The sequence below is a fragment of the Homo sapiens genome, chromosome 4 (genome assembly GCF_000001405.40).
Source record: "Homo sapiens chromosome 4, GRCh38.p14 Primary Assembly".
NCBI classification, from domain to species: domain Eukaryota; kingdom Metazoa; phylum Chordata; class Mammalia; order Primates; family Hominidae; genus Homo; species Homo sapiens.
The window spans coordinates 168,155,975-168,169,988 of NC_000004.12; the positions used below are offsets into that span (position 1 = coordinate 168,155,975).

The following is a 14,014-nucleotide window of genomic DNA, read 5'->3' on the forward strand; positions in this document are numbered from 1 at the left end:
GATATATCATATATTATACATAATTTATATTATATGTTATATATAATATATTATATATAGTATTATATTATATATTATATATTATATATCATATATTATATATATTATATATAATATTTATTATATATAAATATTATATTTATTTATATTTATATATATTATATATAAAAATAATATATATTATATATTATATATATTATATTATATATTATATATTATATATAATATATATTATATTATATGTAATATGTATTATATTATATATAATAGTATATATTATATATAATGTATATATTATATATAATAGTATATATTATATTATATTATATATAATAGTATATATAATATATAATATATTATATAGTATATATGTTATATAATATATTATATAGTATATATAATATAATTAATATATATTATATTATATATTATATAGTATATATTATATATACTATATAATATATAATTTTATATATATAGTAGGTGACCACATTGCTTTTTAAGTGCATATTTCTTGTTTTTTGTTTTGTTTTGTTTTGTTTTTTTGAGACGGAGTCTCCACTCTGTCACCCAGGCTGGAATGCAATGGCGGGATCTCAGCTCACTGCAAGCTCTGCCTCCCAGGTTCACGCCATTCTCCTGCCTCAGCCTCCCAAGTAGCTGGAACTACAGGCACCCGCCACCATGCCCAGCTAATTTTTTGTATTTTTAGTAGAGACGGGGTTTCATTGTGTTAGCCAGTATGGTCTCGATCTCCTGACCTCCTGATCCTCCTGCCTCGGCCTCCCAAAGTGCTGGGGTTACAGGCATGAGCAACCATGCCCGGCCCCTATTTCTTGTTTTTATCCATCTTGGTGATGTTTGGCTGGAGTAAAGGGACAAACACCTGGCCTCCAAACAGGAGACTCTATTAATTTTGAATAATTTTACAAACTCTTCCTCTTACCTAGGATTCTCATGTCACCTCTATCCTCAGGCTTATTAAAAAATCATTCCTCTAGGGCACCAATATTAATGATGAAGTTCATATTTTTTCTAAGGTACACTAGCGTGGAAAAAATGCTAAAACTACTAAATTACCTGATAAATAACTTGAAACCAGTGATCTAGTGGTATGGCATATAAATTTGAAAGTAGTGAATAAATTGAAGACTTTGAAAATACATTATAGATGCCAAAATAACATTTTAAAATTAAAAATTCACAATATTGAGTACAATTTCTATAAAATAAACTTTATTTATGTTAATACAGTTTGAACACAACACAATCAAGGTATAGATCATTTCTTTATATTTTTTTTTCTTTTTTGATACAGAGTCTTGCTCTGTCTCCCAGGCTGGAGTGCAGTGGCATGATCTCGGCTCACTGCAACCTCCGCCACCCAGGTTCCAGTGATCCTCCTGACTCAGCCTCCCGAGTAGCTGGGATTACAGGCGCCTGCCACCACCCCTGGCTAATTGTTATATTTTTAGTAGAGACAGGGTTTCAGCATCTTGGCCAGGCTGGTGTTGAACTCCTGACCTGACTCTACCTGTCTCAGCCTCCCAAAGTCTTGGGATTACAGGCGTAAGCCACCACGCCCGGCCAGTATAGAGCATTTCTAATACCTCCAGACTTTGTGTCTGCTCCTTTGCAGCCCATCTCCTGACATCCTCCTGCTGAAAGAAACCACTGATCTGCTTTCTACTTGTCCTTATAGATGAATTTTTGCTATTTCTAGAATTTAATATAAATGTAATCATGTCATATGTGCTCTTTTATGTCTAGATTCATTTTCTCAGAATAATGTTTTTAAGGTTCACTTGTGAAGCTATGTGTATTCTTTTATTGCTATTTTTCTAGTGCATATATATACCAATATTTGTTTATTCATTCACCTGTTGATGGACATTCATTTTCAATTTGGGATTATTATGAATAAATGTGCTATAAATATTCCTGTTCTTTGGGTTTATAAATGTTCATTTTTGTTGGTTAATAGGAATGCATTTGATGGATTGTTTTTAAATATATGTTTAAACTCATGAGAAACTACAAAAGAGTTTGCTAACGTGGTTGCAATATATTACATTCTGATCAGTGATGACAGTTCCAAATGATCCACATCCTCACCAACACCTGGTATTATCAGTCTTTTAATTTTAGCTGCTCTAGAGAATATGTGGTGGTATCTCATGATGGTTCTAATTTCCATTAGTGTCATGACCAATGTTTTAAGCATGAAAACATTTAAACATTCCACAGGCTTATTCCCAGTTTGTAAGTTTTATTTGGTGAAGTTCTAGTTGAAAGGTCTTGTCCATGTTTTCATCAGAATGTCTTAACTGGGTTTTAAGAGATTCTTGTATCTTCTGGGCACAAATCTTTTGTCAAATATGTGAAGTGACAACTGTGGTTCTCTTTTACTTTCTTCAAAGTTCCTTACAAAAATTTAAGGTTTTTATTTCAAAGAAGTTAAATTCATCATTTTTTCATATATTGTTTATTCTTTTATGTATCATGTAAGAATTTTTTGTCTACACCAAGTGGCAAAGATTTGTTCTGGTACTTTCTTCTAGAAGATTTAGTTTTGGCTTTTCTTTTTAAGTATATAGCTCTAGTACAAATTGAAATAGAATATATCAGTAAGAGCAGACATCCTTGCCTTGTTCTCAATCTTAGAGGATAAGCATTTAGTTTTTCACTGGTATCCTCTTCCCTGTAGAAATTTTGTAAATGCCCTCTATCAGTTTGAGAAAGATTCCTTCTTTCTTTGCTAAGAATTTTTTTATTATGATTATGTGCTAAATATTCTCAAATGCTTTTGCTACATTAGTTGGTTTAGATATGTGTCCTCTCCAAATGTCATGTTGAAATGTGATCTCCAGTGCTGGAGGTGGGCCTGAAGATAGGTGTTTGGGTCGTGGGAGCGGATTCCTCATGAAGAGCTCTTTCCATGAGTAATATGTTCCCCTTAAAGAGCCTGGCAGCTCCTCCCTCCAGCTCTTGCTCCCCCTTTGCCTTCTGCCATGATTGTAAGCTTCTTGAAGCCTCATGAGAAGCAGATACTGGTGCCATGCTTCTTGTACAGCTTGCAGAACCATGAGACAATTAAACCTCTTTGTAAATTACCCAGCCACAGGTTTTTCTTTATGGCAACACAAAGTGGACTAACACGCTACTTCTATTGATATCATCATATAGCTTTCCTCCTTATACTGCTAAAATGGAAATTTACATTGATTAATTTTCAAATGCAAACCAACCTTGCATTCCTGGGATAAACCCTACTTGCTCGTTAGGTGTCATTCTTTTTCTGTGTTACTAGATGTGCTTTATAAATATTTGAATACACATGTTTGTGTCTAGGTTTATAAGGGATATCAGTGTGCAATTTTCTTATGAAGTTTTTATTTTAATTTTTGTATTACAGCAATACTGGCCAGATAAGGTAAATTGAGAAATCTTCTATCATCCACTAATTTCTTCAATATTTTGTATAGGATTTACTTTACCCCTTCCATAAGGGCTTGATAGATTACATTAGTGATTCCACCTGGGTCTAGAGATAGGCGGGAGCATTAACTACAAATTCAATTTCTTTAATTAACATTGGGAAATCTAAATTTTCTATTTATGCTTGAGCCTATTTTGGTAATTTGTATTTGTCATGGAATTTGTCCATTTCAACTAAATTTTAAAATATAGTGGCAGAAATTTGTTTATAATAGTCTCTTTTTACCCCTTAGTGTCTACAGTATACATACACATAACTCTTACACTTCCAATATTGGTATTTTGTATTTTCTCTCTTGTTATAATGCTTTTATCTACTAAAAAAGAAAATCCACAGTGTATGAAAGGTGGTGTTGGATTATGCCAAATAATAAAATGAAAATTAGGACTATTTTGTAGTTATTTCAATGTGGAATCTTTTACTTGAATTCCAGTATTGAACCACCTCAGAACCAAAGTATTGCATGTTTTTAAGTAAAACTGAATATGCTTTACACAGTTTAGTGAGAGACCATTTTAAACACCGTTCAGATTTCTTGGTAACCCTACAGAAAATAAATTGAGTATATATATATTTTTTCCCTCAAATGTTATTTTAAGTTCAGGGATACGTGTGCAGAATATGCAGGTTTATTTCACAGGTAAACATGTGCCATGGTGGTTTGTTGCACCTATCAACCTATAACCTAGATATTAAGCCCATTATCCATTAGCTATTCTTCCTGATGTTCTCCCTCCCTGCTTGCCCCCGCCCCCAACAGGCCCAGTGTGTGTTGTTCTCCTCCATGTGTCCATGTGTTCTCATCATTCAGCTCCTACTTGTAAGTGAAACATACAGTGTTTGATTTTCTGTTCTTGTGTTACTTTGCAGAGGATAATGGCTTCCAACTATCCATGTCCCTGAAAAGGACATAATCTCATCCCTTTTTAATAGCTGCATAGTATTCCATGGCATATATGTACCACATTTTCTTTATCCAGTCTATCATTGGGCATTTAGGCTGATTATGTATCTTTGCTATTGTGAATAGTGCTGCGATGAACATACACATGCATGTATCTTTATAATATTAATATAATGGTTTTTATTCCTTTGGGCATATAGCCAGTAATGAGATTGCTGGGTCAAATAGTATTTCTGCCTCTAGGTCTTTGAGGAATCACCACACTGTCTTCCACAACGGTTGAACTGATTTACACTCCCAGAGTGTAAAAATGTTCCTTTTTGTCCACAACCTCACCAACATCTGTGGTTTCTTGACTTTTTAGTAATCACCCTTCTGACTGGGGTGAAACAATATCTCACTGTGGTTTTGATTTGTATTTCTCTAATAATCAGTGATGTTAAGCTTCTTTCCATGTGTTTGTTGGCTGCACGTCTGTCTTCTTTTGAGAAGTGTCTGTTCATATTTTTCCCACTTTTTAATGGGGTTGTTTGTTTCCTGTAAATTTGCTTAAGTTCTTCTTAGACTCACTCTGGTTATTAGACCTTTGTCCCATGGATAGATTGCAAAAACTTTCTCCCATTCTATAGGCTGTCTGTTCACTCTGATGATAGTTTCTTTTGCTGTGCAGAGGCTCTTTAGTTTAATTAGATTCCATTTGTCAATTTTTGCTTTTGTTGCAGTTGCTTTTGGAGTTTTCATCATGAAATATTTGCCTGTGCCTATGTCCTCAATGGTATTGCCTAGATTTTCTTCTAGGTTTTTTATAGTTTTGGGTTTTACATTTAAGTCTTTAATTCATCTTGAGTTAATTTTTGTATATGGCATAAGGAAGGTATACAGTTTCAGTTTTCTGCATATAACTAGACACTTCTCCCAGCACCATTTATTAAATAGAGAATCTTTTCCCCATTGCTTATTTTTGTCAGGTTTGTCAAAGATCAGATGGTTGTAGCTATGTGGTCTTATTTCTGAGTTTTCTATTCTGTTCCATTGGTCTGTGTGTCTGTTCTTGTACCAGTACCATGCTGTTTTGATTACTGTAGCCTTGTATTATAGTTTGCAGTTGGGTAGTGTGATGCGTCCAGCTTTGTTCTTTTTGCTTAGGATTGACTTGGCTATTCAGGCTCTTTTTTTGGTTCCATATGAATTTTAAAATAGTTTTTTTTCTAATTCTGTGAAGAACATTAATGGGAGTTTAATGGGGATAGCATTGAATCTATAAATTACTTTGAACAATATGGCCATTTTCATGATATTGATTCTTCCTATCCATGAACATGGAATGTTCTTCCATGTGTTTGTGTCATCTCTGATTTCTTTGAGCAGTGGTTTGTAGCTCTCCTTGAAGAGGTCCTTCAATTCCCTTGTTAGCTGTATCCCTAGGTATTTTATTCCTTTTGTAGCAATTGTGAATTGGAAGTCATTCATGATTTGGCTCTTGGCTTGCCTGTTTGTTGTTGTATAGGAAGAGCATATATATATTTTTAATTCCACTTTACATTTGTAAAATAAAATGCAAAATATTTTTATGTCTGTTTTCATAGCACATTTAGTATGCATGTATTTCTCTTTAAGTGTTTGACTTTCAATATTTAAAATAATATTGCTTGTTATTTGAAGAAAGTTCTAAGACTACTTAATTAATTTACATAAGCTGTTTGGCAATAGTATAACCAGGGACTTCTGCTAAAAGAGACTGTTGCAATGATAAAATAAAATAAAGTGCATATTTTCTTTAAGGAGTAATGTTTCAGTAATTCCACAAGAAAACTAAAGACCCCCAATTAAATGTTTTTAAGTTTAACTTTTACATATTTTCATAATGAGATCAAAAGAGGAGTTGGAGTTTAGGGTCAGAAAAAGAAAATCATTCTATGTTCAAATGTCTACAATGTGCATATGCTATGTCATGCAGGGGTGAGATCAAATCAACAATTTTCAAGTTCATCATCTCATGTAATGCATACATATACATGTGAATCAGACTTGTTATGCTGTTATTATTAAATGACATGGAAAAGAAAATATTAAAAGACTTTCTGCAATTATCTCATTTCTCTTGCAAATTTGGTAACATATAATAAATATATGTACTTTTTCCTCCACAGGACCTGATTGGGGATATGAGGGAGCAGCTTTCGGATCACTTCAAAGATGTGATGGCTGGCCTCATGTACCCACCACCACTGTATGATGCTCATGAGCTCTGGCATGCCATGAAGGTAGTGATCTGATCCAAAAATATGCCTGTAACAAGTACAGGCCAGTATTTCAGTAGAGGGGAAACTGCCCTGTGATGCTCCTACATACTTATATGATCAAGGAGAGGGGAGGGAATATCTAAACAATGATGTAACAATGGAAATGTTGTGGTCAAGGGCAGTGGCCTTGTTAGGAAGGTGGAGCCTCCTGGGCTGAGTGGCTGGGATCAGCCTGTTCTTTTGTTGTACAAAGTCACAAACTTACTGAGCCAGCCCCAGTGCTGACCTACAACAAGGAAAAGTGAACAAGCCTCCAGGGCTATTCAGATTTGTCCCTGAGCATGTATTCCTATATTGAGGATAATGTATTAAAAATGATGTGAATCTTGTTACATTATTTGTAAAAATTTGATTAAGTCAAAAGAAGATATTGAATCAGGGACAATATATAGATGATGTCTTTATATTTTCTTTTTATGACCTGAAGTTCATTCTTTACAGAAACATTTTTTTTTTTGCTCAAATGTATAAAAATCTTAATTTGGAAGAATTAGAATCAGTGTTTCTTACAGGAAAGTCATTTCCATGAAATAAGTTGACTGTGGATTTGTTACAGATTTTGTTGGCTAGGTACAGGGAACAAAGAGGGCCTTGGCTTTACTTCTTTCCAAATGCAGATATTAAACACCTGCAGAACTGTTGAAATCATTCCAGTACGATGCTTGCCAATGACCAGATTACCACAATCTGTGAACAATGTGTGACAGAAAAGAGGCAACAGGAAAAAAATTAAAGGACATGGATTTTGGCCATCACATTTACTGATCCAAATAGGCATTGTACAAAAATTATATGAATTTTAACTAATCGCTTTTAACACATGTTACATGTCAATTCCTACCTCTTGCAAAATTATGTCTAAAAATTATTTAAAAAATAAAGTTATATGTTTATATGTTGCTGTTTTGATTAAACAAGTGTGTTTTATCAATAATTCATAGAATGCTAAGGATTTCTGAGGCTTTCCTAAAAAAGGTGTATTGTCTTTAAGATCTCTTTCACAGACCAATATATCCATGTGTCTGCAAGAGACCACAGAAAGCATCCATCCAAATATTTATGCAAATTGTACAAAATTCCACATCTAGAGAGGCAGGCACAGGTCCCTAAAATATTCTCGGCAAATTAGAAAACCTGTATTCTAATGTCAGCTTGCTAAAGAATTAATATTCCAGCAGCAAATGGAATATCAAATATCATTCCAACAGCAAATGGAAATGCTCAATGCCATGAGCATTGCTTGAACATGTCTTTCTCCACATTGTTTAGAAATGCTCATACTGTTTTATTCTAAATGAAGAAACAGTTTCCTTCAGATAATATTAATTCTTCAGGGTCAAATAGGTAGTAAATGGCAAAGCTGAAACTAAGATTGTGCCTGCCTTCATCCTAAACCACTTCCTTTCCCTGCCACCTCTCAAAACACTGGAAATGCTGTATCCCTTTCTTGTACAAAAGGTACACTATTACTTCCAATAAAAATATCCTTACATTTATCTCTTTTTTCCTTTCTCTAGGGAGTAGGCACTGATGAGAATTGCCTCATTGAAATACTAGCTTCAAGAACAAATGGAGAAATTTTCCAGATGCGAGAAGCCTACTGCTTGCGTAAGGAAATATACATATGTGAATATATTTTACACATATAAGAACTTTATAACACATTAAATATTCCAGTTTATGTATTTTGAAGAATTATCTAAGACATTCTTACATTTAACATAGGATTCACTGAGGACCAATTAACTCATTAGGTAAAACCGATTATTAGTGCACTAAAAATGAAACCATTCTCTAGACAATCAAGTTAAGCAAATTTTCCAGGAAAATAATTACAAGTCTCTATGAGGTGAATGTTTTCATTAAGACAGGAAAGTGTCCCACATTTTAATTCAGGGGGCATTTCACCTCTTACCCAGGAAAGACCCAGCATATAGAAAAAATAAGGTACAATAATGGCTCAGTGAATTCTACAAATATATCTGCTTCGCTTTACATAAATTTCACATTCCCGTAATCTACTACAAAATCAGATTTTTATACATTTCAAAAGTAGAAAGGGTAACTATTTTCACTTTCAAAAAGGTATAATGCCTTAAGTTCTATTGCGTTATGTAGTATATGACATTGTGTGTCAAGAAAATGTTGCGGACAGTCATCTCTATTGCATTCAAACAAAAACAAGACTTTTCTGAAGGGAATGAAGTCAGAACTTTCACTAAAATGTTAAAATGAGATGAAGCACTTAGAAAAAGTATTGGGCTGGGCAGCATTCTGTGGAAATAGAATGCATAATTCTGAATTTTGAGAATCAGAGAATGTGAAATGACTCTCAATCCTGTTTTTCAATTTTGGACTAAAGATTTTTAAAAAATAGTCCTGTGCTTATGTTACCATTAGGTGACAGAATTCTTTGGCAGACGGTTTATTGACAAAGAAATGTCAACAGGTGGACTACATTTCCTGGACTTTGTACTCACAACTGGGAAATAACATTAACTTACTCAAAACACACTGATACATAGTTCTATAATAAATCATACCTTTAACATGTTTTCTTATACAGAATACAGCAATAACCTCCAAGAGGACATTTATTCAGAGACCTCAGGACACTTCAGAGATACTCTCATGAACTTGGTCCAGGTATGGCATTCCAAAATTTACATTACTTTGCACTATCTAAGCAAATAAGTATATGTCATTGCCAAAAAAAAAAAAAAAAATAGAACAGAAAACTCCAGTATATTACAGTTCAATAGTAAATTCTGTGTAGTAACATTTACTGAAGCCATGTTCAAAATACTCAACTAGAAATTTAAGTTGTTAAAGACAAATATGGATAATGCCTCAACTCTATTTTCAAAAAATTAAAAATCTATTCTAAAGAGATTATAAATATACATGTATGTATAATTAATTTTATATTCTGAGAAAATTAAAAGATTAAAAATATTACAGTTAAAATTAATAATTCTAATTAGAAATAATTTCTTTCTTTCTTTCTTTCTTTTTTGAGACAGTCTCGCTCTATCACCCAGGCTGGAGTGCAGTGGCATGATCTCAGCTCACTGCAACCTCCTCCTCCTGGGTTCAAGTGATTTTCCTGCCTCAGCCTCCCATGTAGCTGGGACTCAAGGCACGTGCCACCACATCCAGCTAATTTTTGTATTTTTAGTAGAGATGGGGTTTCACCATGTTGGCAAGGCTGGTCTCAAACTCCTGACTTCAGGTGATCCGCCTGCCTCAGCCTCCCAAGGTGCTAGAATTACAGGCGTGAGCCACCATGCCCAGCCTTAGAAATAATTTCATTTTTAAAACTGCTACATGGGCTTAGCGCACACTAACATTTCTGAGCTCCTACAATGTGCCTAGTACTGTGTGAGGAGAGAAACAATTTTCTCATTTAATAACAACAAAACACTATAATACAAATATTCTCATAAGTACTTCAGAAAAGAATAGAGAATCACAAAGTATAAAGTTCTAGCTCTATGATTGTCTGAAGAGCTAATAAGTAGAAATCCAGAATTTGATTGAATGCTAGAGACTCTAAATGCCAGCATATGATCTTTGATGCAGCCTATAAAAATTCTGTGGTGTTATATATTACCAAAAAGGAACACTACTTCAAGTTAAAAATAGATTTTATCATTTATGTTTCTGTACTGGCTAAATGATATATAAGTATTTCCATTTAATGAATATTTCTTGAAAATATTCCACATATTAGCATTGTAATACAAATAATATTTTTAAAGATATAATTATCTCCTGTTTTATACATATTCTCCAATGTGCCTGTTATCCTATTTAACAAAGGCACTCAGGAATGCAAAGAGAAAGAGGGTCAGTGTTCAGCTCTTAATTTCTAAAAGAGAATCTCAAAGGCCACAGCTGAGAAACATGTCTTAAAAGCCAGAATTTTGGTTTGGTTTGGTTTTGTGTTTCGTGTGTGTGTGTGTGTGTGTGTGTGTGTGTGTGTGTGTGTGTGTGTGTGTTTGAAATGAAGCAAGAGTTTCTAAACCTCCAAACCTTTCCTTTACACATCAAAGGCATAGTAGTTAGCAAAGAATTAGTAGTCACCAAAGAATTTCACTAAAACCAAGAAGTTGATAGAATTTTGTACATGGGAACATGACATTAGAAAAGATTTCAATGCCTTTTAAAAAAAGAATACATGAAAGCCTTTTTAGTGGGAACAAAGCTGGAAGAGTAGGACCTAGGAGAGAGAAGGATCTATAGTCCAGGTGGAGGGGACTAGAGTGAGAATCCTGCCTAAGGCCCTCAGGAACACAGAGCCCCACACTCTTAGGTGAGGAGTTAGAATCACCAGATAAAAACGCAAGGTAGATAATTGTCTATTCTTTCATCCTTTTCTCTGAACCCCTCCAGTCCCAATTGCTTCCATGAGTTATTGGATTTGTTTTTAATCTAAACGTTTCTGTGGCTACTGTGGATAAACTCTGAGAAGTCCTCCCCTGTCCTTTATCCTGCTTGGCTTTATCTGAAGAGGTGCTATGGAGAACAGACAGTCCTCAGTCCCTGAATTTTTATGGTCTGACTTATCTACTTCATGGTACCTTTCTACTTTATGATGGTGCAAAACTGCTGCAATTTTCACATAATAGTTGATATTCCATAAATTATGTGAGATATGTAACACACTTTATTGTAAAATAGGCTTTGTGTTAGATAATTTTGCCCAACTGTAGGCTACTGCAAGTGTTCTGAGCACATTTAAGGTATGTGTTCAATAGGTTAGGTGTATTAAATGCATTTTTGACTTGGGATATTTTAATTTACAATGGATTTATCAGGACGTAACCCCATCATAAGTTGAGAAGCCTCTCTATATCCTTGTACCACTTTCATAGCAGCTCAACTTTGGCAAATTTAGAGTCCTCATATTTTGTTTATAGCACACGTTATCAATATTTCTTTAATCTTAGTTTGTAATGTCTTTGAAAATGAGGATCTCTAAAAACTTAGAAGAGTTGTGATCTACTTGCTTTTGGTTAGGTCCATTTACCACTTAACCGCATGCAAAGTTCTTTCCTAGATATATTTCTCCGGTATGACTTTCTTTGCATCCTTGCTCCCTCATTTATGCCTTTTTTATTTTCACGACTCAAAAACATTTCCTTGAAGGATCTCTTAGAAGGTAAAACTGGCCGGGTATTACTAGAGGGCTGAGTCATAACAAACCCTTACTTTTCAAAGCCTCTTCAAGTCTCAGCTTACATTGCTTGGAATCAGTAAGTGGTTTCTCTTTGTAACTCTTCAAGGCACCAAATTTCTAAACTTTCTCTCTTCTCCCTTGTATGTCTGCTTGCAAACTAGCAAGTTATTTACTGAGCTTATCTCTTTCTTGTAATAGATGACTAAAAGCATAAAGTAAATGCCATTTCTCAAGCTCACAGGAAGACCTGAACAGGTGCTACCGATCAGAGTGCATTTCCCTTCCAAGAAGTGATCCAGAGACTTAGTCTCCTTCCACCGTTACAACTGGCTTTTAAGTTTATCATGTCTGTCTTCAACCCAGGGAAGCAGAAAGAGAATAGAGGTTTCTTCACAGAAGTGTTCATGAGCCTTGTTGCAATGCATATCCATTTCTGCTCAGATATCACTGGCTAAACCCTCACTCAAGGAGGCCTACTTAATATCAAAGGTAGTGAAGTTATTTGTCTTCAAGGAAGTTGAAACAAGTTTTAAATCTGTATTTAGTGTATTTCTTCTTCTTCTTCTTCTTTTTTTTAACGGAGTTTCACTCTTGTCACCCAGGCTGGAGTGCAATGGTGCAATCTTGGCTCACTGCAACCTCTGCCTCCCTGGTTCAAGTGATTCTCCTACCTCAGCCTCCCGAGTAGCTGGGATTACAGGCACGTGCCACCAAGCCCAGCTAATATTTTTTATTTTTAGTAGAGACGCGGTTTCACCATGTTGGCCAGGATGGTCTCAATCTCTTGACCTCTTGATCCGCCCGCCTCGGCCTCCCAAAGTGCTGGGATTACAGGCGTGAGCCACCGCGCCTGGCCAATCAGTGTATTTCAAAGCTGTGAAAAAGAATTGAACATTGCAACCAAGAAATACAAATGGGTAACAGAAGATGGTAAAGACATGTTTGTCAATAAATAGAAAACTTATGATGATGACTATATTAGGCCCAAATAGAATTTCTAAAAGGGAAGCATATATAAACAAAGAATTTGCTTTGTTGTGTTTGGTTTTGGTTTGGTTTAGTTTAATTTGGATATCTGTGGTTTGGCTACATAGTTCATAAAACTCCCATGTCACCACTCTCAGTAAATCATCCTATTCTGAGGATTTTCATCTGTAGGATTATCCATGTCAGTGGAGAAAAGATAATTTGGTTTTTCATAGTACAAACTGAAGCGTCTGGTAAAATGTAGGTATAAGCTCATTTTAATTTGTAACAGAAGTTGAGGTCATTTGCAGAAAAATACATTTTCAATAATAATTACTATTTTAAAATAATCTCGATTGACAAGATGCCAATTGAATATTTTCTTTTACATTTTATAAGATTAATTTTAATTAAAATTTTTTCTCAATTTAAAAGGTAATTTTACAATAATGTTGCTACAATAATATAAATTAAAGCAACAGTTTCCACTCAGAGATTCTTCTTGGCACAGGTATTGCCCCTAACAGAGTGAAGCCAACAGTTCCATTATAAGCCATTATAAATCCTAATATCAAACAAGTTTTTATTGCTTTAGTAGGAAGAAAATTATTTTCCTAAGGACTTTATTTAATTCCATTAGGACTGCATCACAGCCAAATCCTGCTTCTGTTCCCTCCCTCCCATAGGTGTTGATCCCAAGAACATTCCATAATTAACAGGCTGGATGCCGATCTCCGTCTCAAAGTCATCTTCCCAGGAAACCCAACTGGCAATATCCCCTCTGTGTAGAGATGAGGAGACTTAAGCTTAGAGAGGTTAAGTGGTGTACCTGACATTACAGGTCTACTTAATGAAAGGGCTGACATGAAGTCAGGCCTAGATGCACTATACCTCTGCTGTTGAATTGTACTGCTCCTATCTCCAACCCCATTTGGTTCCACTCCAATTCTACTTCTATTTGGTAAAATGTCAACGATCAAAACTCAAATCCTCTTAGCATTTCTGCACCTCTTTAAAGGTTGAGCTATAAACCACCTAAAATAACTGACATCTAAGAATTAGGATCACAGTGTATTTTTATAAAGTAAGCATTCTTGTATTTCAAGGGAAAACACAAGTTCCGAAAATGAAACATGAGGGAAAATAAATCACAAGTGAAA

General features: G+C 34.6%; 1 protein-coding gene across 2 annotated transcripts in view; it reads left to right on the plus strand.

Annotated features, from left to right (window-relative positions):
• ANXA10 (annexin A10) overlaps positions 1 to 14,014 on the plus strand; it is a 95,200-nt gene that overhangs the window by 63,438 nt on the left and 17,748 nt on the right. The window contains exons 4-7 of one of the 2 annotated variants that reach the window (XM_011531571.3): positions 4,260 to 4,319; positions 6,554 to 6,667; positions 8,224 to 8,314; positions 9,273 to 9,352. In XM_011531571.3, coding sequence (XP_011529873.1) covers positions 4,260 to 4,319; positions 6,554 to 6,667; positions 8,224 to 8,314; positions 9,273 to 9,352 — 345 coding nt within the window. The remainder of the gene's footprint in view (positions 1 to 4,259; positions 4,320 to 6,553; positions 6,668 to 8,223; positions 8,315 to 9,272; positions 9,353 to 14,014) is intronic. The other variant, NM_007193.5, reaches the window with a different exon arrangement.